Raw genomic sequence first — 23,573 nt, forward strand, 5'->3', positions numbered from 1 at the left:
TCTCGAGGTTATGGTCTTAGTTCCCAAGACTTTTCTTATTTTCTGCCCTCCCCTGGAGTCTGCCTAGCAACTGTACTCTTGTATCTTGAGGGAGAAGCATTGACTCTAATATATGTCATTTAACAAATACAAAGGAAGCAGAAACCAGGGTCTCTGGGTGTTCAATCCCCTCCACCTCCTGGTCTGAAGGTGGGTGCTGTCCTGGGCACTCACAGAGGGCGCTGTCAGCCTTTGATAAACCTTGCTGGGCCAGCCCAGAACAGGCATCTCGCCCTCCCTGAACACCCAATAGCAGACAGCTAGAGAGCTTTGTGACTCGAGGGCACCTATGAGAGCCAGAGAAACTCACTACCTATCAGTAAACAGGAGGGGGTGCCTTCTTATTCCCAAATGTCTCCTACACACCATGGAATACTATGCAGCCGTCAGGGAGAAGGTGCCCACTCGGTATGACTGATGTGGATTGCCAAGATAAAGAAAATGAAAACACCAGGGTGTTCTTGTACCCTACTTTTGAGATGAATAAAAGAGAATATACTGTATATGTTTGTCTACCCATGAACATCTCTGGAAGGACACAAAAGAAAATAGCAACAGCGTTGCTTGCATCTGATGAGGAGAACTAAGCAGCTGAGGATAGGGTGGAAACAGACGTCCTTTCCACAGTGGTCTCTTTCGTACACTATGTTGTTCTATATGTATGTATTACCTACAAAAAAATGACAATGAAAAGAAGGCTTTTTCTCCTTAAAGAGCTTGGGGGAAGGCAGGCATGCAAACAATTACAATGCAATATGCTCAGTGTTATTGAGATGCGCAGGGTGGGAAGGGAGTATAGGAGAGAGACTGTCTAAGGGGGCTTGGGGGTGTCGGGGAATTTGGAAGAATCACACCGAATGCTAAAACCTCTCTAGGCTCAGCGTTGCCCGGGCATAAAGGACACAGTGAGAAGGGACCTGAGACGAAGCTGCAAGAGCAGGTAGAGGCCAGAGTGTGAACCGCCTTGTGTGCCAAGCTAAAGAATTTAGATTTTATCCTAATAGGAAATAGGCAGCTATTAAATAATTTTCAGCAGGGAGTGACCAGTTCAGATTTGCTGTTTAGAGAGATGACTCTGGCAGGGATGCGGAGGATAGATTAAGAGGGGCTAGGATGGGGCGGGGAGAAATGTTTTGAGGTTAATGCAATAATTTAGGTAAGAGATGGTGGGTAGGTGACCCCGGGGGCAAAGGGAGGGAGGATGGCAGAGAAGAGATTAAACCTGAGACTCGAACTGGGCCAGCGATGTGTATAGAGACCACGCACAAAGCCTGCTCTGCCGCTCTCTGTTTTCTCACGCTGGCATCCTCTGCACATTTGGATGCCCCAGATGCCCCAGCAGCTGGCAGGATGGGTCCAGGGAGCCCTTCCTGGTCTGCCTGCCTGCCTCCTTGCCCCAGGCTCCTTGGCAAAGCAGAGCAGGGAAAAGAGAACAGAAGCGTTTCCCTCGCCATCCAACTCCTAGGTCTCTCATTTATTCCTTGCTCTCTCCGGATTCGGGTCCTCTCATTATTTCTGATCTGTACAGCTTGCCGCTTCCCTGGCTCAGCTCTCCCACCCCCGTCTGCAAAGTGTCAATCAAGCCATCAGATGAGCAGCTCAGCCTCATATCCTCAGCGTCTCTGCCCCAGGACACGAGAAGCGATTGCTGACACACACAAGCAGCAAGGTGTAAGGCTGCTGGCTCTCCCTTTAATAGTCTTCCGATCCAGAATGGGTGTTAAAATGGAATTTGAGTGGATAGCGTCTCTCTGCCTGTCCCTGTCAGGACAGCCGCAAGGACGGGCAACCCTGAGAGAAGGGGAAGCCTTCAGAAGTCGATTCGCTTTTCATTTCAAGGTTGGGCCATGGCCAGTGTCTGCTTTCGGAGGAGCTGTTTGAAATTGTTAATGAGAAGCAGAATGCTTGAGTCCAGGAATCCAGGGCAGCCTTGTGAAGTAGGGATGGGGAAATGGAATTGTCATTTTATCTCTGAAGGGATATTGTATTAAACAAAGTGGGGGTGGGGGTATGGGATACAGAGACGCTTTGTAGCTTCCCTGGAGGACTGAACAATAAGAAATATCGAGGGCAGCAGGAAGAACTGAGATTAGAACAAAGAGTGAAATTCCCCAGGCCCTGGAACCAGGGGCCAGGGAGATTTGAAGCATCTGCTTCCCCGGGGGCTTGCTCCTTCTTTTACAAATTGTGAATGGATGTGTGGTTTTTATAGAATGTGGCAACTAATGAGCATGAAGCTCAATTACTCCACCAAGTTCTCTTTCGATTTTTGATCGCACGTACACAGAACACTTGGTTGCAGTGTGTGTGTGTGTGTCTGTTTGTGTTCTGCTTGCCTTTCTCAGGGTTATCTCATACACACATTTCTGCATAGCAGAGTCCAGCTTGTTATTTGGAATAGCTACGTAGTATTCCATTGTGCCAGCGAGCCAGAGCTTGTTCAGCCATTCCTTGTGGTTGAGTTATTTCCCATTTTTTTATATTGTAAAAGCACAGATATCAATATCTTCATACCTTTGTCTCCCCTTGGGATATGGTTCCCCAGGTTGAATTTCTAGGTCAGAAGGTTTGAGCTGTTTTACCCGGATTGCTGTGTATTGCCTCAGCCACCTCCAGGAGATCCTGACAACCCAAATTGCCACCCTCCTCTATCTCTGTCCCCACAGCACTGACAACATAAGAGATTGTCATTTTTATTTATTTTTGCTAATTTAATAGGCACATAATAGTACCTTGAAGTTATTTAATTCCCATTTCTTTCATTGCTAGTGAGACTGGGCACACTTCCATGTGAGGATTTATTGTCTGCTTTTCCTTGTACGTAAACTGTTCATCTCCTCTGACATCTTATCAAGAGAAATCTGGGGGCTGATCTTATATATTTATATCAAGCCTTTACATACTCAGATAGTACATTTTTCTCGGTTATGTCAGCCATTTTTTATTCTGGGGAGCTGTCCAGTTGTGATGTGGATGCTGGCCTGTTCCGGGGGGTGGGAGTGGCATATGGAGTTGTGAGGATTTCTGGACTCTTGAAATATACATACATATATATATATATATATATATATATATATATATATATATATTCTGGGGTTTTTTTTTTTTAGAAGAAAAAAAAGCCAAGCATGGTAGGTTTTGCTTGTAACCTAGCACTTTTTTTTTTTTTTTTTTTTTTTTTAGGCAGGCTTGCTCTGTCGCCCAGGCTGGAGTACAGTGGCACAATCTCGGTTCACTGCAACCTCCGCCTCCCGGGTTCAAGGGATTGTCTTGCCTCAGCCACCTGAGTAGGTGGGATTACAGGCCTGCACTACCACACCCAGCCAATTTTTGTATTTTTAAGTAGAGACAGGGTTTCGCCATGTTGGCCAGGATGGTCTTGAACTCCTTGCCTCTAAAGATCCTCCCACCTCGACCTCCCAAAGTGATAAGATAACAGGCGTGAGCCATCGCACCCAGCCAGTCCCAGCACTTTGAGAGGCCTACGTGGGCAGATTGCTTGAGCCCAGGAGTTTGAGACCAGCCTGGGCAGCATGGCAAAACTCTTGTCTCTACAAAAAATAAGCTGGGCGTGGTAGTGCACTCCTGTGGTCCCAGCTACTCAGGGGGCTGAGGTGGGAGGATCAGCAGAGCCTGGGAATTTGAGACTGCAGTGAGCTATGATCACACCACTGCACTCCAGCCTGGGTGACAGACTGAAATCCTGTAACAGGAAAAAAAAAAAAAAGATAAAGAAAAATCCAGTCCGATGGCACCTCCTCTCTGGGCTCCTGTTTTCCTAAGAACAAAAGGGCTAGGCTGAGAGGACAGCCAGTTGCCAAGATCAGTCTGGGGGATTACTTGTGGAATGAGAAGCATTGCTGGCGGCCTTGGCAGGCCACTGTAAGGAGGCAGGGCAGCTCCCTGTAGTCATGTGGGTTTCCTGGACCATTATTTTCTCCCACTCATTGTGGGAGAAATAGCAAAATATTGAAATCGGAATCATCATTACAAGTTCTGACTCATCCTCAGTAAAGCACAGTGGTTAAAGGAACGGATTCTGGGGCAGACAGACCTAGGTTCACAGTTCAGTGTCTTTCTTTTCTTTCTTTCTTTTTTTTTTTTTTTTTTCCATAGAGCTGGAATCTTGCTCCATTGCCCAGGCTGGAGTACAATGGTGTGATTATAGCTCACTGCAGCCTCAAACTCCTGGGCTCAAGTGACCCTCCTGCCTCAGCCTCCCAAGTAAGTAAGACTACAGGCATGCACCACCATCCCTGGCTAATTTTTAACATTTTTTGTAGAGATGCGGTCTTGCTATGTTGCCCAGACTGGTCTCAAACTTCTGGCCTCAAGTGATTCTCCCGCCTCGGCCTCTCAAAGTGTTGGGATTACAGACGTGAGCCACTGTGCCCAGCCTCAGTGTCTTTGTATACCAGGGGTGTTGCTTTGGGTAAGATAGAATCTCTCTAAGCCTTCACGTCTTCAGCCATTAAGTAATATTTTGGTTATGGCTGTGTAAAAAACCTCCCCAAAATGTTGTGGCTGAAAACAACAACCATTTTATTCTGTTTCATGGTTTTGTGGATCAGGAATGAAGCTTGACTGGGTGATTCTTCTGCACTATGCAGCATCAATTGGGTCACTTGGTACTATTTGGCTGGTGCTAGGCTGGGCTGGAGGAACCAAGATGACTTCACTTTTCTTTGAGACAAGGTCTTGCTATGTTGCACAGGTTTGTCTGGAACTCCTGGCCTCAAGCGATCCTTCCTGACTCAGCCTCCCAAACCAAGATAACTTCATTCTTATATAGAGTTCTCCACCTGGTCCCAGGTCCTCTCCATGTGAACTCTCCCATAGGGTGCCTGCACTTCTAACATGGTGGCTCAGGGCTCAGAGAGTAAGGGCTCCTTGGCCAGGTGCGGTGGCTCATGCCTGTAACCCCAGCACTTTGGGAGGCCGAGGTGGTCGGATCATGAGGTCAGGAGTTCGAGACCAGCCTGGCCAATATGGTGAAACCCCGTCTCTACTAAAAATATGAAAAATTAGCTGGGTGTAGTGGCGCTCGCCTGTAGGCCCAGCTACTCGGGAAGCTGAGGCAGAAGAATCGCTTGAACCCACGAGTCAGAGGTTGCAGTGAGCCAAGATAGTGCCACTGCTCTCCTGCCTGGATGACAAAACGAGACTCCCTCTCAAAAAAAAAAAAAAAGTAAGGGCTCCAACATAAGAAGAGGAAGCTGCCAGTCTCTTTAGGGCTGTGCCAGAAAGTGTCATGGTATCACTTTTGCCATATTTTATGGGTCAAGCAGTCACAGAGTCTGTGATAGAAGGAGTGAAAAAGAATTTGGGGCCATCCTTAATCTGCCAAAAGTAGGCATAAAAATACTCCTAAGCCAGGTGCAGTGTCTCACACCTGTAATCCAAGCTTTTGGGAGGATGAGGTGGGAGGATTGTATGAGTCCAGGAGTTCGAGACCAGCCTGAGCAACACAGTGAGCCCTCGTCTCTACAAAAAATAAACAAAATTAGCTGAGCATGGTGGCATGCGTTTGTAGTTTCAGCTACTCGGGCGGCTGAGGTAGGAGGACCCCTTGAGCCCAGGAAGTGGAGGCTACAGTGAGCCGAGTTCGTGCCACTGCACTCCAGCCTGCGTGACAGTGAGATCCCAGAGATCCTCTCAAAAACCAAAACTTCAAAAACAAAAACCCGCAGAAACTCCTAGGGCTATGAGGAGTAAATGAGATAACTCATGCAGAGGCAAATTTACCATGAAGCAAATGAAACTTCAACCATGGGGGTCCTTAATTGAACAGTTTCTTCCACATCCGGGCATCTAATTTTGTATTAATAATTCTCCTTTTTTCTTTTTCTCAAAGAGTACCCTCGAACTGTATGACAATCAAGCCCTACCCAAATGCCAGTATCAGTACTTACTAAGCATACTGCCTGGGACAGAGAGATGCTCAACACGGGGCCCCTCCAGGCACTGGGCTGGCCTGGTCCCCTCTCTGTGGCTGAGGAGAGGGCTCCTCCTCTCACTCTGCCCTTTCTGTCTTTTCAGGATCATTTCTTCTTTCTTCAAAATGAAAGTAAAACATGCTGGGAATAATTTCATAATTACAAAACTGCCCTCCCAATTGGCCCCTGCCTCTACCCCCTGACCTCACCACCCACCAGGGAGGTGGGTCTTATTCTGGGCATCGTGCCAAGTTCTTAGCGGGGCCCTCTAGAATCTCTAAAGCAAATCAGGCTGAAGAGGGGAAAACCAGCAGGGGGAGGCAGCATTCCCGGTGCCCAGTATGGTCTAGGAGGCATTGAAATTCCAGGGCCGAAGTCCTGAGACAAAGATCATAATGAGACAGGAAGGTGGCAAAGGAAGGAGCCCATTTGCATGACAATAATTGAGCCAAGAATAGAAAGCCACAGGGATGCAAGGGTGAGGCTGGCGGCTGAGCTGGGCTAAACCTCACAAATCAGACTACCCAGCTCTGCTCCGCAGGGGAAGGGAGACTGAGCCCTGGGCCAGGCTTGGCAGAGAGGGAAGCGGGAGGACACGACCCCAGGGCATTGTGGGAACACTGGCCAGGCTGGACTTTGCCTTCCTCCTCGTCCTTTAGCCGGGAGCCTGTCTTTGCTTGCCTTTGCCTTTGAGGCTCTGTGGCTGTGGGGCTGAGTGGCATCATGGCGGCTCAGAAAGATCTCTGGGACGCCATTGTGATTGGGGCGGGGATCCAGGGCTGCTTCACTGCATACCACCTGGCCAAACACAGGAAGAGGATCCTCCTGCTGGAGCAGGTACTGTGTCCCTTCTGCACCCCCAGCTGTAAGGACTGTCCTACCCTCCTCCCCTGCAGAAGGGTTTTCAGAGCCAGCAGGCTACAGGGCAAGGCCAAAGGGACTGAATCATCAAAAATTCTGTGTAATTTGTATCTTAGCTGCCTAGTGTGTTTCATGGCAATTCAAAGAAGTTTCACATCCCTCATACCCACATTGGGTTTCTAGGCACATTTCCTCTTTCTACTGCTTCCCAGTTCCTGCCCTTGACCAAGCGTCCTAGGCCCTGTTCTCTTCCTTCTCACTACTCTTTCCCTTCTGTGCCCAAATGGTTGATCCCCACCCCAGAAAAATAATTGGTTCTGCTCTAGGTAACCTAAAGTAAAGATAATTTTGCCTAGAGGCAAAGGTTGATTTATCAGCCTAAGAGGTAGGATTCTGTCTTGCATATTCCTGGCCTCTCACACCAGAACCCAGCAGAAGCTTCTGTTTTTTTTTTTTATTTTTTATTTTTTGCCACCTCCAGATAATAGCAGCCTCCTTGTTTGACACATGATAAGTGAGACTGAGGCCTTATTTTTCCTGCTACGCAGTGCAGTCTGCAGTGACCACTGCATATGTGGGTGGGCCCTGTGTGTCTGCAGGGTCCTTCGAGGACAGGGCCACCCAGCTATCCACTGCAGTGGACTCTCCCTTTCCATTCTGCCTGCAGCTACCCAGGCTGGCTATGGTTTGCTCTTCTTGGTAATGAGCCAGAGTAGTTAGAAACCTTCTTCATTTCTCTATCAGTTTTCTCAAAGCCCAAGGGATTCCTGGTTCATCCTCTCAGGAAACTCATTGTTGCTGAATCCTGAGGTGGTTCTCTTACCCTGAGTGATCTGTAGCCACAGAGAAATAAAGTCAGCATCAGTTTCCTTGTTCATAAAATGAAGGGGCTGGAGTAGTTGAACTGGAAGGTTTTTTCTAATTTTGCTTCTTTGTGAATCTAAGTGAGGTGAGATTGCAGCAGGATGGTTGAAGACTAGCTAACAAAAGAACTTCTGGATGTGAACAACGTTAGCAAAAAGGAAGCCTAAGTTAGTGCTATTGAAGAACTTCTATCTTGATTGCCAAGTCAGTAAATTGGTCATAAAGAGAGAATTTGGAAAGATTGTGTGAATTTTTTTTTGTGGGGGGACAGGATCTCACTCTATTGCACGGGCTGGAGTGCAGTGGTACTATCATAGTTCACTACAGCCTCAAACTCCTGGGCTCAAACAGTCCTCCTACCTCAGCCTTCCAAGTAGCTGGGACTACAAGTGCCACCACACCTGATAGTTTTTAAATTTTTGAGAAGACTGGGTCTTGCTATATTGCCTAAGCTGGTCTTGAATTCCTGGGCTCAAATTATCTTCCTGTGCATAATCCTTCCCCAGATTGTGTGGAAATATTTGAAGGATAAATGGCTCCTGGTTGACAGCACATGCTGATATGGCTCTTAACAGGGGATGCAGTGTGAGGGGTAATGGCTTCCATCATCTCTCTTGTTTTCCACTTCCAGTTCTTTCTACCACACTCCCGAGGAAGCTCCCATGGACAAAGCCGGATAATCCGAAAGGCGTACCTGGAAGACTTTTACACCCGGATGATGCATGAGTGCTATCAGATATGGGCCCAGCTGGAGCACGAGGCTGGAACCCAATTGCACAGGTGGGCTGTGGGAGGAATTCCTTGAATCGTGGGGCTCTGCACCTGCAGGTACTTTTAGTGTGTGAAGTGGCAGCGCCATGGAACATTTGGAATGCAATGGGAGGGACACAAGGCCTCAAGAAGTACCAGATGCATGGAAGAGTTCTGCTGTCATGGTGGTCACCCCACAGGTCCAGCTGACTCTGGCCAGGCTCTGCGTTGCAGGACTGGGTTCAGACCATGTGTCCAAGGCTAGCAGAAGCAGTACTGGAAAGCCTGCTGGCAAGGCACCGTGTGGCAGATGCCCAGAGTGGACAGGAGTCTGCTGGAGTGTGTATTTTCAACTCTGTGGAGGCCTCTGCAACTCTTTTAGGGCAGGGGTTGAGATAGAGGAGGAGGCTGCTTTCAGGAGGATTCTTTTTTTTTTTTTTTTTTTTTTTTTTTTGACAGAGTCTCGCTTTTTTGTCAGGCTGGAGTGTAGTGGCGCCATCTTGGCTCACTGCAACCTCCACCTCCCGGGTTCAAGTGATTCTTCTGCTTCAGCCTCCCGGGCAGCTGGGACTACAGGTGCGCACCACCACACCCAGCTAATTTTTGTATTTTTAGTAGAGACAGGGTTTCACCATGTTGGCCAGGATGGTCTTGATCTCTCGACCTCATGATCTGCCCTTCTCGGCCCCCCTAAGTACTGGGATTACAGGTGTGAGCCACCGTGCCTGGCCCAGGATTCTTTATAGTCAAATCAACATCCTAACTTTTCCTGAGGGGTCCTCACCCCCTTTAGCAGCCCTATAAACCCATTTTGTTCTCTCTGAGTACCTTTTCCTGTAGGAACAAAATGGGGACGTTCCCCAGGCTGGATTGCTTGCCAGGGAGTGAGCCTCCACGTCTTTCTCTGCTGCCTTCATGGCTCTCTCCAACCCTTGACCTTTCAAACACTCATGGGAAAGAAAGCCAATAATCTGTGATGCAATGGGAACTTTAACCATCCCACCTCCCTCCCACCTCCTCTGTGACTCTTAACTGAACTTCCTACAAACCCTGGCTCTACCTGATAGGGTGGTGGTTATTTTAATGGCCAGGAACCAAGAGGTTAGTGTTCTGTTGCAAAAATACCATTAACTTAAGAACAAAGTGAAATCCATTATGCAAATCAGCCAGGGCAGCTAATTACAGATTTATTCAGAGGCAGCTAATGCACCCAGCACCCAAATAAAGGAGCATGTCTTGCTGGTGGGTGGCCCGGCAGAGGGACCCCTCTCTGTCAGTTGTCTGTGAATACTGCTGAGCATCTTTTGCTAAAAGAATCGCCCTGGGCCTCAGAGGGCACACTTCCTCCTAGCACACAATGAGGCAACTAAGAGACGTTAGAGTGTCTGGAATCTTTCCGAGGGAGACGATTCTGGAGTGAGACAGGCTTAGGTTTGACATTGTGCTCTATTCCACACCAGTTGTGTGATCTTGGAAAAGTTTCTTGACTTCTCTGTGCCTCACTTTTTACGATAGGGCTCTGAGAGGATTAAATGAGACTTTTGTGAAATACTTGGCCCAATGTCTAGCACCTTTCAATAAGGGGCAGTCCCTTATTGACCCATTCTGGGTCAGCTGCATTCTGTTCCATTGAGCAACAGTGGGAGGAAAGGCAGGAGGAGACAGATGGGTGCAACAACCACAGATACCAAGGGGAGTGGCAGCAGGAAAGAGGGAGAGGGATCCTTGGGTAGGAGACTCTCAGAAGCGCACAATCCTCCTCTTTGCCAGGAGGACAGGAATTTGGACGGGCTTTGGAACTGGACCTGGCTCTAAATCTCAGCTCTGACACGCTCAGCTGTGTGGTTTGGAACGAGCTGTTGAACCTCTGGTGAGACTCAGCTTTTTTCATCTGTGAAGTAGGGATACTAATACCTGTGTCATGGTGCTGGGGTGAGGATAAGTAGGTAATGGGCTTAGAACAGCACCTGGAAAACCATCTTCCTCCTCCTCCTCACCATATATGTAGTGTTTACAATAAGAAACTAGGCTGGGCATGGTGGCTCACGCCTGTAATCCCAGCACTTTGGGAGGCTGAGGCAGGTGGATCACCTGAAGTCAGGAGTTAAAAACCAGCCTGGCCAACATGGTGAAACCCCGCCTCTACTAAAAATACAAAAAGTAGCCAGGCATGGTGGTGGACACCTGTAATCACAGCTATTAGGGAGGCTGATGAGGCAGAAGAATCGCTTGAACCTGGGAGGCAGAGGTTGCAGTGAGCCGAGATCACGCCACTGCACTGCACTCCAGCCTGGGTGACAGAGTGAGACTCCGTCTCAAAGAAAAAAAAAGAAAAGAAAAGAAAAGAAAAAACTAAGAGTTGCCTAAGTACCTGACACCTATAACTCATTCCATTCTCCTCACAATCTTATGAGAGGGTTGCTGCCGGGTAGTCAGGGTCTTATCCCATTAATGCAAATCACAGAATTACTATACTCTTAAGTCTAGAATAGAGGTTGGCCAGCTTTATCTATAAATGGCCACGTAGTAAGTATCTTAGCCTTTGCAGGCAACGTGGTCTCTGTTACAATTATTCAACTCTGCCATTGTAGTGTGAAAGCAAGATGTAAATAAATGAGCCTGGATGTATTCTAATACAACTTTATTTATAGACACTGAAATTTGAACTTCATATAATTTTCATGTGTCACTCAACATTATTCTTCTTTGGATTAAAAAAAATCAACAATTAAAAAATTTAAAAACCATCTTGGCTCATGGACCAGACCAAAACAAGCAGAAGGCCAGATTTGGTCCCTGAGTGGTAGCTTGCTGGCCCTGGGTGTGGAAGATACCTCAAACTGGTTAACTTGTCCATTTCTGTCTCCAAATAAGTTCATGCCTAAATCATCCCAGGTCAAAAGACTGCTACTATGCATTTAAAGACAGGGAAATATCACAGCCCTTCTTAAAAGACCATTCTGATGTCTCATAGCCCCAGTTACGAAAAATGAAAAGTAATGTGAATATGCTTTAAAAACCTCTAGAGTGCTAAGTATTCTTACTACTATTGTTATTATTCTATTATTATAAGTCCTTTCTTATGGCTAACCTAATGTACTCAGGCACACCAATTTATTTGGTTCTTTTACTTAGCAGGGACACAGAGCAGATACTTCCCATTCTCAGAATGGTATCTGAATACAGCTCTACTACCTTTGGGCTAAAAGCCATTCTAATTCCTTTAGCTTTTACTGATTCTTATTTTCTAAATGATTCATCATCTGTGTGGTTCTTACTTTTCCCCAGGTTTTTCTAGAAGAACCAGCACAATACCATAATACTACTGATAGATATGAGCATACTTAATGCTATTTGATGATGATTAAAAAAAAACCTTTAGGAGTTGGCAGTTCAGGTGGTTGTCCAGTGCTTTTCATTCTGTTTAGCTGCTTCCTGTGACAGCGGCATACTAAACATGGGTGGGTTTGGGACATTTGCATATATTCTGGGAACAGACAATGACACATGTGTCAGATCACAAGGTCTGAATCTTTTGTGATGTGTACAGCCAGGATGCTGATTCCAACAGCAAAACCCAGCTCCCTGGCCCATCTCTTTCCTGCCCCGCCTTCTCCCTTTGAGTCCTACTGTCTAGCTCCTGACCTGGGCTGCCCCTGCTTAGCTGACAGTATCAGACAAGATCACAGCCGTAGGCAGTACAGCTGCTGGCAGAACCTGGTGGCCCCCTCTGCAGCTGCTGTTTCTTGTGTCTGCGAAGTGTCTGGCTTGTCAGCCACATCCCCTCCCTGGAGCAGTCTTTGTTAACCAATTCCACCTCGGCCCACTGAACGGAAGATGAAATGCCTAGAGCTCCTCCAAAACCAACAAAGGCAGCAGCCATTACCAAGTCCCCATTCGAATCCCTTCCCCAAGGTGACTCAGAGCTGGCTTGCTGGGCATTTTTAACCCACAGAGGGGAGAGCTGAAGCTTGGGATGGGAGATGGCAGGTGCAGGGAGAGCCGTCTCCTCTCCCAATTCCTCCCCACTCCATCCTACACCCTGTCCTGCTACAGTAACTGGTGGAAATCCCTGATCACCAACTCCCTACATCATATCTGAGGCATTAGTCGGGCTATAGCAGAGTCAACAAGGCCCTCGGGAGGAATCTTCAATTACCTCTTCCTAGTGCTGGATCAAGCTAGGGTCAGGAGGAAGGAATAGTTCATACTAAATGCTCTTGACTCAGCTGATGGGCATTCTGGGAGGTGGGAGCTGCACTCTTTTCTAGGGTTCCCTGGCAACCCATGTGCTGGCTTTCAGTCCTTCTTTGTAGCTAGTCCTGACCATTCATTTCCCGGTCATTTTTTATCCTGCTGATGCCCTTGTCTCCTCTCACCCTTCTCCTTCCCAAACTTACAGCCCAGGTCTAAGCAGAAAAAAAGAAGACAGGGAGGCCACGAACACAGGGGTGAGAAATTGATGCAGAATGAGCAGTCTATTTGTTGGTATCTAGAAAAAGCCATTAAGAAAATAAGCACTTAAATGATTTTCAATCTGCCCATGGAAGCCATCCATCTTCATACTGGGAGGAAAAGGCCCATTCTCCAATCCCGGTTTTGACTGACTGGTTTCCAATTCTCTAAGCATTTCCCATAGGAGCCTCTCACCTATCTCCCATAATCACAGGCCTTTGCATTTCCAGGCAGTGTTTTACATTTATTTCCGATTTGCTCATAATGGTCAAAAATCTCTCTCCAATCCAAGGCATTTCTCCAGCAGCGCACGGTTTCCCTCAGGCCAAATAGCTCAGCTGTGATCCACGGAAAATGAGAATTTCCCAAACACATCTTCGGACTAGGGGAGGGTCTGGCATCACACATTCAGATGGAAAATTTCCCACTGTTATATCAATATCTGGGCTAAGAAAGAAATGCCACAGGGGCAGAGAGCTGGAGCAAAATGATTACAATCGGCACAATTACATTCACCGGCAGAATCAGCTCGCTGATTACTCCCAGGGATGGGGAGCTCCCGCTTCATCCACCACAGGATGGCTTGGGAATTAGAACATCACTCAGCATTTCATAATTCAACAGATATGCCCGTTGTCTTGGCATGAGTTCATTTTTCCCACATAGTACATCCCTGTAAGAGGAGTCATTTCAAGGAAAGAAGGAAAGAAGGAGGAAAGAAAGGAGGAAGAAACAATGGAAAAAGGGAAAGGAAATCTCAGAGTATATGAGAGGCCAAAGCTGGTATATTGCAGGCAGAGATTAGAATATGCTGCTCTGGAATTTCCAGGTCAGGGATTTCACATTACATCTGCTTAGGTGTGGTTTAAGCCAGGTCTGTCCCAGAATCCCTCCCAGCCAGGACCCCATTGGGTAAAAAGGACTCAAGGAAATACACCTGAGTGACTTCATACTTATTTGTTGAGTAAGAAGTTTACTAGGGCCGGGCACAGTGGCTCATCTTATAATCCTAGCACTTTGGGAGATCAAGACAGAAGGATCGCTTGAGGCCGGGAGTTTGAGATAGGCCTGGGCAACATACTGTGTGACTCTTGTGTCTACAAAACACAAAAAATTCGCCAAGTGTGGTGGCTCACGCCTGTAGTCTGTAGTCCCAAATATTTGGGAGGCCAAGGCAGGAGGATTGCTTGAGGCCAGGAGTTTGAGATAGGCCTCTGCAACACAGCGAGACCCCTATTTCTATACACACAAAAAATTAGCCAAGTGTGGTGGCATGTGCCTGTAGCCCTAGAAACTTGGAGGGCTGAGGCAGGAGGAGCTCGCTTGCGGCTGCAGTGAGCTGTGAACGTGCCACTGCACCCCAGCCTGGGTGATAGAGTGAGACCCCATCTCCATTAAAAAAAAAAAAGAAAAAGAAAAAAAAGTTTGGCCAGGTGCAGTGGCCCCTGCCTGTAATCTCAGCACTTTGTGAGGCTGAGGTGGGCAGATCATGAGGTCAGGAGTTCGAAACCAGCCTGGCCAACAAGGCTCAATACAAAAATGAGCCGGGTGTGGTGGTGAGCGCCTGTAATCTCAGCTACTCCAGAGGCTGAGGCAGGAGAATTGCTTACACCCGGGGGCAGAGGTTGCAGTGACCTGAGATCGCACCACTGCACTCCAGCCTGGATGACAGAGCAAGACTCTGTCTTGGGAAAAAAAAAAAGTTTACTAGGTAAGTTTTCATTACCTCTGAACCAATCTGAAGTCCTTTTGGGGGCCACAGAAAAAAGACAGTCAGCTGAGAGCAGGGATTTCCACTGCATCTTTCCTCTGTTGAGCTTCGAAGAGGCAGAGCTCTCGTTGCTATCTCGCTGGTGGTGAATGCTGGGTAGGCGGGGGCCATGGCAAATGGATTGGGCACGCTGCGCGGCTCTGTGTACTGACACCCGCCCCAGGGCCCACGGTGTCCCTACCCCCTCCCAATCTTCTCTTTAATCCCCCCAACCAGATAATGTGGGATTTGGAAGCATGTAATATCCATGAGACTCCATTATAGGCTATTACGAGCTTTACACCCACTACCTGGGGGATGTACCAGGCCGCTGCTGGGCAGTGCAGCAGCTGCAATGGAGAAGGACCACGGGAACAGTCCCAAAGGCCAGAGTGACTCTTCCATTGTTTCTATCCGTTTCCCCCCAAAAGGGAGCTCTGGTCTCTTGTGACAGAGAGGCAGGAAGCATGAAAGAGAAACAGCTTTCACTCCCTTAGGGAGTAAAAGCATAGAGGGAGGTACAGGGAGAAACAAAATCACAGTCACTGAGTGTATTGGTGGAGCCCTAGGAGACCATCTATCGGTGTTTCTGCATGAGAACACCACTGGAATTTGGGGTGGAATCTTCTCGAGCATTGCAGGTGTAGCATCCCGGGCCCCTGCCCACTAAATGTGAGAGGCAGCACCAGGCATTGTGCCAACTACAAAAATGGATCATGCCATTTTCAGTTGTCCCTGGGTGGGCGGGTGAGTGGGCGGTACCACCCTGGTGTGGAACCATCAGTTGTTCAACAGGCACGTTACAGAGGAGGAATCTGGGCCCAGAGAGGTGAGTGACCTAATCAAGGTCATGGGCAAGGTGAAGCCAGGACTAGAGACAGAGCCAGATCTCTCAGTTTAGGACCCTTTCCACAAAACAGGCAGCCTCTGAGGAATGAGAGACAGAGACAGACACACAGGAAGGGACAAACATATATGACAAGAAAGAAAAAGAGGGAAGCGGGGAGGGCAGGGGAGAATACAGAACAGAGAGATCAAAATAGTGAATGGGATCAGGGGACAGGAGGAAGGGAAGAAATTTCATCAAACTGACTGAACTTCCACCACTTCCAAGCCATGGGACATGAAAGAGGACTTAGGATCTCTGCCCTCAAGGGCAGGATGGGTCCTGAGAAGGGGCATAGAGGACAAGAAAACCAATAGTGAGAGCCCAAGGGCAGACTTGGGAATGGGCTGGAAATCAGCATGAGAATACTGGGATTCTACCGACTGAATCTAGATGGCTTCACCTCTTCTCTGAACATGAGGCCATGACTCCTCTCAGGGCCTACACCTGGACCCGAGATCCCTCCTGAAGGAGAGCAAATGGCCCAGGGCTTTGCTTTGTTTTGCTTTGAGACAGGGGCTTGCTCTCTCATCCAGGCTGGAGTGCAGTGGTGCAATCATGGCTCACTGCAACCCTGACCTCCCTGGCTAAAGTGATCCTCTCACCTCAGCCTCCCAAATAGCTGGGATCACAGGCATGTGACACCATGCTTGGCTACTTTTTAAAAATTTTTTACTTTTTGCAGAGACAGGGTCTCATGATATTGCCCAGGCTGCTAGTGAACAAATTAGTGGCCTCAAGTCATCCTCCTGCCTCAGCCTCCTGAAGTGCTGGGATTACAGGCGTGAGTCGTCACATCAGGCCCAGGATTTTGAAACACACCTTCACCTAGGTGACTTATTTTTTAACAGGCAGACTGGATTACTGCTGCTGGGAATGAAAGAGAATCAAGAATTAAAGACAATCCAGGCCAATCTGTCGAGGCAGAGGGTAGAACACCAGTGTCTTTCATCTGAGGAACTGAAGCAACGTTTCCCAAATATTCGGTTGCCCAGGGGAGAAGTGGGGCTCTTGGACAATTCCGGAGGAGTTATCTATGCATATAAGGCCCTCAGAGCCCTGCAGGTAATGTCGTATAGCACTGGGGCGATGCAGGTGCTCCCTGCTCTGGGTGTCCTGGGTCCCAAGCAGCCAGCCCAAGACCCCCCTCTGGATGAGGCCTTTGCCCTGCAGGCTTTAGTCTTGACTTTTCCAGCAGGGCAGTGAAATATATGCGGCTGGCCTTGTCAATACAGGACAGGTCTAGATTCTGCACTCTTTTCTGCCCCAGGCAAAAGGCTTTCTGTCCACCAGGGTGAACCACATACAGAACTAATTCACCTTTCCCTGCTCCTGCCCTTTCAGGATGCAATTCGACAGCTAGGAGGCATAGTGCGTGACGGAGAGAAGGTGGTGGAGATAAACCCAGGGCTACTGGTCACGGTGAAAACCACCTCCAGGAGCTACCAAGCTAAGAGCTTGGTCATCACAGCAGGTCCTTGGACCAACCAGCTCCTCCGTCCCCTGGGCATTGAGATGCCTCTCCAGGTAAGAGGAGCTGGAAGCCCGAGAGTTGGTGCTCAAGAGAAGCCTTGGAACCAGATGGAGTCAAATTTGAGTCCTGGATCTGCCTCTTGCTAGTGGACAACCTTGGGCACATTCATTCACCTCACCGAGCCTCAGTTTTATCATCTGTAATATGGGGGATGATAGCTACCTCATAGGGCTGTTGGAGAATTAAATTATTAGGCTGGTGCAAAAGTAATTGCAGTTTTACCGTTCAAAGTCATGGCAAAAACCACAATTACTTTTGCACTAACCTAATATATGCTGTATATAAAGCCTTTAAGAGGCCGGATGTGGTGGCTGACACCTGTAATTCCAGCACTCTGGAAGACCAAAGCAGGAGAATTTCTTGAGCCCAGGAGTTCAAGACCAGCCTGGGCAATATGGCGAGACCCTGTTTCTACAAAAACTAAGAAAAATTAGCCAGGTGTAGTGGCGTGTGCTTGTAGTCCCAGCTACTTGGGAGGCTGAGCCCAGGAGGCTGGCCTGAGCCCAGGAGGTTGAGGCTGCAATGAGTCGTGATTCTACCACTGCATTCCAGTCTGGGTGACAGAGCAAGACCCTGTCTCAATAAAATAAAATAAAATAAAATAAAAATAAAGCCCTTAGGACATAACCTGGCTTATAGTAAGCACTCAATAAACCTGAGGTCTTATTAATTCCCGAAAAGAGACAGAAATATGGCTGGGGGCTGGGTGTAGTTATGGGAGAAAACTAAGAATGGGAGAAGAGACAGAGGCTCAGAGATGTTTGTGCATCATAACACATGTAACAGGTAAACAACATGAGAAGTGGGAGAGACAAACATGGATGAGTTCAACTGGGTGTCCAGGCTTGTGTTAGAGGGCCGCAGGGGCCCAGAGAAACTGCTTTCATTGCTGTAGAGTTCCATGGCTTTTCTTCATTTCCCACTTCCTCTCCCTGCCTCAAGACCCTGCGGATCAACGTGTGTTACTGGCGAGAGATGGTTCCTGGGAGCTATGGTGTGTCCCAGGCCTTTCCGTGCTTCCTGTGGCTGGGCTTGTGTCCCCACCACATCTACGGACTGCCCACAGGAGAGTACCCAGGGCTGATGAAGGTGAGCGGAAAGACCGAGATAAGGCAGGTAGATGCCAGTGCAGATTAGGGGAAGCTGCTCTAACTTTCCCCTCCATAGATGCCCTTGGGTCTCGGGGCCAGCAGCAGGAGCCTGCTTCACTCATGGCGATTTGCAAGGAAAGACCCTCAGCTGCCCTGAGGCCCAGCAAAAGGAGCCCTTCCTTTGCAAACATAGGGTGGTTGCAGGGACCAACAGCTAAGCAGCCTCAGGTGACAGCCCACAGCACCTGCCAGGAGTGGGGAAGGCTGGAATGATGGATGGGGCTGTCCTGTGTACACGCCTGCCCTTCGGCTGTGGGTGTGTGTGGAAGGCCAGCCCTCACCACTCATGCCACTCTGATTGGGAGCCAGGTCAGCTATCACCACGGCAACCACGCAGACCCTGAGGAGCGGGACTGCCCCACAGCACGCACAGACATCGGAGACGTCCAGATCCTGAGCAGCTTTGTCAGAGATCACTTACCTGATCTGAAGCCCGAGCCTGCTGTCATTGAGAGCTGCATGTACACGGTAAGGGGTCTGGGCAGCCTTGCTGGGCCCCCTCACCACTCTACAGAAGGGAAGAAGGAGACAGACCTTGCACTGGCCAGGCCCGATTGTTTGACCCCTGACATAGTGTGTGACTTTAAACAAACGGGCTCATTTCTGTGGGTAGGTTCACCTCTACCAGGGAGGGTCCTGTTCGAAATTATTCCTATTCTTCTTCATTAGGAAACTAGGTTATGCCTGGCAGTCGGTCCTTCACTCTGATTCCCAGAAGAGCTCTAAAAGATTTTCTGGCAAGCTCCTCCAGTTGAGCAGGCCTTAGGGACAAAGAGAAGAGACAGATGTCACCACGGCCTAAGGCATCTTGGCTAAAGTTAGTTTACAAAGATTAACTGAACACCTACTGTGTTCGTAGCTCTGTGCGAGAAGAAAGGCAGCCGGACAAATGAAAAAGACTGGCACACCCAGAGGGGCACGGGCATGCGGAAAGCATCCTTGTGCCTCATTCCATCCTTTCTGGAAAGAAATCCAGCCCATCCCCTTCCAGTTAGAGCCTGCAGTTCTTTCTCTTCCCTCGAGCCTCAAAGAACACAAGGTGTGACTGTTTCTTTCTAGAATACCCCTGATGAGCAGTTCATTCTCGATCGCCACCCAAAGTATGACAACATTGTCATTGGTGCTGGATTCTCTGGTGAGTCTGAGCTGGGGGGAATGGGGTGCCTTAAAGCTGACCTACCTCAGTGCCAGGTGAAATGGTATTTTCCACACTCTTAGCTGCCCAGATAGGTGTGAAGCCTGGACATTGTAGGTATAAGGAGGCTGGGCAGTCAGAAAAGGGGTATTCATGGTGGGAGGCCACTTCTGGCTTTGGGATGTGACCAGGAGGACAGTCAGCCCTGTCTGGGTAAGTAGGGGATGTCCAGAGAGCTCAACCTCTGTCTGTGAAGCTGCCTGAGAGTCTGCTCTTCCCTTCCTAGGGCACGGGTTCAAGCTGGCCCCTGTGGTGGGGAAGATCCTGTATGAATTAAGCATGAAATTAACACCATCTTATGACTTGGCACCTTTTCGAATCAGCCGTTTCCCAAGCCTGGGCAAAGCCCACCTTTGACCTCTGGCCAGAAGCCTCCCTTCTGTGCACAGGAGCCAGTTTCACAGATGGAGAAGATGTCTCAGATGAAGGGAGTGTCCCTGAGATATCATCCTTTTCTTCTGCCTCGCCTGAATCCCCCATAAACACCAGATGATTGAGTCTACCTTCTTTCCTTGGCCCGCTCCCTTTTTCTTCTGCCTCACTTGAATCCCCCGTAAACACCAGACGATTGAGTCTACCTTCTTTTCTTGGCCACCTCCCCATTCACAACTACTTTCTCGCTCCCAGAAGGTTGATCAGATATTCTACAATCACAGAGTAGCAAGGACGTTTGAGATGGGTATATCAGTAAGAAGAGGGCACAAGAACTGGCTCTGGAGACCAAAGCAGTTGTTAAAAATTCTCTTTGCTGGGGGCCGGGTGTGGTGGCTCACACCTGTAATCTCGGCACTTTGGGGGGCTGAGACAGGCGGATCACCTGAGGCCAGGAATTCAAGACCAGCCTGGCCAACATGGTGAAACCCTATCTCCACTAAAAATACAAAATTAGCTGGGTGTGGTGGCGCATGCCTGTAATCCCAGCTACTTGGGAGACTGAGGCAAGAGAATCACTTGAACCCGGGAGGTGGAGGTGGCAGTGAGCCGAGATTGCGCCATTGCACTCCAGCCTGGGCAAAAAGAGTGAGACTCTGTCTCAAAAAAAAAACAAAACAAAAAAAACCTCTTTGCTGGTATATTTGAAGAGCTTGGGATGGATTTGACTAAATCTGCCCCGAGGAGGGTGAACAAGGTGATCTCAGAGATCACTACTGCTCTTGGAGTTCCTTCTCCTAAAGCTAAGGCCAGCCTCCATCACAAATGCCCATAAAATCTGGCTCGTCTTTGATGAACAATAAATATTTGTTGAACAAATAAATAACTGCCCTGCATTAAGTCTGTAGCGGGCTTTCTTTTCTGTGTGACCTCATTTCTTCCAGGCTCTAATTGTCTAAATTAGCACCACAGAATCCATTAACCCAGGAACCCTTGGAGTCTTTATCCCCTCAATGCGCTGCACCCCCTTTCTCTGGATTCTTTGTCTCCTCCTCACCCCCTCTCTGGTTGTGTGAAGATGCTCAGCTCCCCAGTCTCTCATTAAGGTGTATTGTCAGGTCCTTATGAAGATGGAGCTGTTATACCAGAAAGAAAGAGAGAGACACACTCGCTTAGAAACCCTGTTCAATGTTTGAATGTTAAATGTGCCATTTTATTATCATTAGGATTGCTCCCACTTAATGAAACAGCATTAGCACCGAGTTGGCTGGCCTCCTTGCACTAATTGCTTTGGAAGGGAACAGGCTTATAACCACCCCAGGGTGGGTGGAGGGGTGAGGGGTGGTAACAGGGACTCGAGCAAGTCTGGATGCACTCAGATGAAACCCACCTGGAGGATCTCCACATCGGGCCAGTTCAACCCCAGAACAGGAGCTAAAATGCTCTAGAGAGAAAAACTGGGACTGGGAGTGGCAGATGTGTTAGGGGGAGTCACAGAGTGGGGAGGAGCAGGCAGTGAGAATGACAGTACAAATATCCCCAAAGGAAATACAACACAGAGGAAATGGCTCTTCAACTGCCTGAGTCCTTAAGGTCCTAGGCACATGTATTAGCACTGATTCTCCAGTGAGTTATAAAAGCCAGCCAAGGCCGGGCGCCATGGCTCATGCCTGTCATCCCAACACTTTGGGAGGCTGAGCGGGGCAGATCACCTGAGGTCAGCAGGTCGAGACCAGCCTGGCCAATGTGGCGAAACCCCATCTCTACTAAAAATACAAAAATTAGTCGGGCGTGGTGGCGGGAACCTGTAGTCCCAGCTACTCAGGAGGCTGAGGCAGGAGAATTACTTGAACCTGGGAGGCAGAGGTTGCAGTGAGCCGAGATTGCACCACTGTACTCCAGCCTAGGTGACAGAGCAAGATTCAGTCTCAAAAAAAAAAAAAAAAAGCCAGCCAAGCCTGTCAACCCCATGCCAAGTCTGCTTTTTGTGTGATCTCAGATGGTTCCCTGAACCTCAGCCTCTGTAAAATGGGAGTATTATATCTGTAAATGGGAATAATAATGCCAACCAGCTCCACAGGGGTGTCTGAGGATCAAATAAGATCATTCATTCATGCATTTGTTCAAAACACAAATACTGAGTGAGCCTCTATTATGTGTCAGGCACTATGTGAGGCACCGTAGATACATCAGTGAACAAAACAGATAAAAATCCCTGTTCTAAAACAGCATGGTTGTTCCTCAAAAAATTAAAAATAGAATTACCATATGATCCAGCAGTTACACTTCTGGTATATGCCCAAAAGAACTGAAAACAGGATCTCAAAGAGTTATTTATACACCCCTGTTTAGAGCAGCATTATTCACGATGGCCAAGAGGTAGAAACAACCGAGGCATCCATGGATGGATGAATGGATAAACAATATGTGGTATGTACATACAATGTAATGTTATTCAGCCTTAGAAATAAACGGAATTCTGGCTGGGCATGGTGGCTCACACCTGTAGTCCCAGCACTTTGGGAGGCCGAGGGCAGGTGGGTCACTTGAGTCCAGGAGTTGGAGACCAGCTTGGCCATCATGGCAAAACCCTGTCTCTACTAAAAATACAAAAATTAGGCAGGGTGCAGTGGCTCACGCCTGTAATCCCAGCACTTTGGGAGGCCGAGGCAGGTGGATCAGGAGGTCAAGAGATCGAGACCATCCTAGCCAACATGGTGAAACCCTGTCTCTACTAAAAGTACAAAAATTAGCCAGGTGTGGTGGTGTGTGCCTGTGGTCCCAGCTACTCGGGAGGCTGAGGCAGGAGAATTCTTGAACCCAGGAGGCAGAGGTTGCAGTGAGCCAAGATCATGCCACTGCACTCCAGCCTGGCAACAGAGCGAGATCCTATCTCAAAAAAAAAAAAAAAAAAAATTAGCCAGGTGTGGTGGCACAAGCCTGTAATTCCAGCTACTCGGGAGACTGAGGCATAAGAATCAATTGAACCTGGGAGGTGGAGGTTGCAGTGAGCTGAGCAGCAGAGCACGACCCTGTCTAAAATAAATAAATAAAAATAAATAAATAAATAAATAAATAAAGGGAATTCTGATACATGCCACCACATGGATGAAACTTGAGGACATTATGCTAAGTGAAATAAGCCAGTCACAAAAACACAAGTGGTATTATTTCACTTCATACATATGAGGTATCTAGGGTAGTCTGAGTCATAGAGACAGAAAGTAAATAGTGGTTGCCAGGATCTGGGAGGAGGAAGAAATGGGGATTTGTTTAATGGGTACAGGTTTTCAGTTCTGCAGGATGAAAGGAGTTCTGTAGATTGGCTGCACAACAGTGCGAATGTACTTAATGCCACTTAGCTGTAGACTTACAAGTGGTTAAGATAGTCAATTTCGTTACGTGTTTTTGACGACAATTTTTAAAAAAATCTCATTCTTTTTTTTTTGAGACACAGTCTCACTCTGTTGCCCAGGCTGGAGTGCAGTGGTGCGATCTCAGCTCGCTGCAACCTCCACCTCCTGGATTCAAGTGATTCTCCTGTCTCAGCCTCCTGAGTAGCTGGGATTACAGGCATGTGCCACCACGCCTGGCTAATTTTTTTTTTTTTTTTTTTTTTTTTTAGTAGAGACGGGGTTTCCCTATGTTGGCCAGGCTGGTCTTGAACTCCTGGCCTCAAGTGATCCACCTGCCTTGGCCTCCCAAAGTGCTGGGATTATAGGCGTGAGCCACCGCGCCTGGCCTAAAAAAAAATCTCATTCTTACAAAGCTTACAGTCCA

At 48.2% G+C, this 23,573-nt stretch overlaps 1 protein-coding gene across 1 annotated transcript, besides 2 other annotated features; it reads left to right on the forward strand.

Annotated features, from left to right (window-relative positions):
• Window positions 6,093-6,981: an enhancer, noted in NCBI's record as "OCT4-NANOG-H3K27ac-H3K4me1 hESC enhancer chr17:27369638-27370526 (GRCh37/hg19 assembly coordinates)". NCBI's record gives its function as "activates a minimal SCP1, AML or CMV promoter by ChIP-STARR-seq in naive and primed H9 embryonic stem cells {active_cell/tissue: H9 hESC(naive and primed)}" and the evidence as "EXISTENCE:reporter gene assay evidence [ECO:0000049][PMID:30033119]".
• PIPOX (pipecolic acid and sarcosine oxidase) lies at window positions 6,614-20,689 on the forward strand. Its single transcript, NM_016518.3, has 8 exons — window positions 6,614-6,812; window positions 8,332-8,480; window positions 16,393-16,606; window positions 16,886-17,068; window positions 18,018-18,164; window positions 18,536-18,694; window positions 19,286-19,361; window positions 19,648-20,689. Exons 1-8 carry the CDS (start codon window positions 6,699-6,701, stop codon window positions 19,776-19,778), a joined length of 1,173 nt encoding a protein of 390 aa, NP_057602.2. The 5' UTR covers window positions 6,614-6,698; the 3' UTR covers window positions 19,779-20,689.
• Window positions 17,905-18,459: an enhancer, noted in NCBI's record as "H3K4me1 hESC enhancer chr17:27381450-27382004 (GRCh37/hg19 assembly coordinates)". NCBI's record gives its function as "activates a minimal SCP1, AML or CMV promoter by ChIP-STARR-seq in naive and primed H9 embryonic stem cells {active_cell/tissue: H9 hESC(naive and primed)}" and the evidence as "EXISTENCE:reporter gene assay evidence [ECO:0000049][PMID:30033119]".
• Window positions 20,690-23,573: the final 2,884 nt, after the last annotated feature.

The sequence above is a fragment of the Homo sapiens genome, chromosome 17, assembly GCF_000001405.40.
Source record: "Homo sapiens chromosome 17, GRCh38.p14 Primary Assembly".
In the NCBI taxonomy this organism is placed as follows: Eukaryota; Metazoa; Chordata; class Mammalia; order Primates; family Hominidae; genus Homo; species Homo sapiens.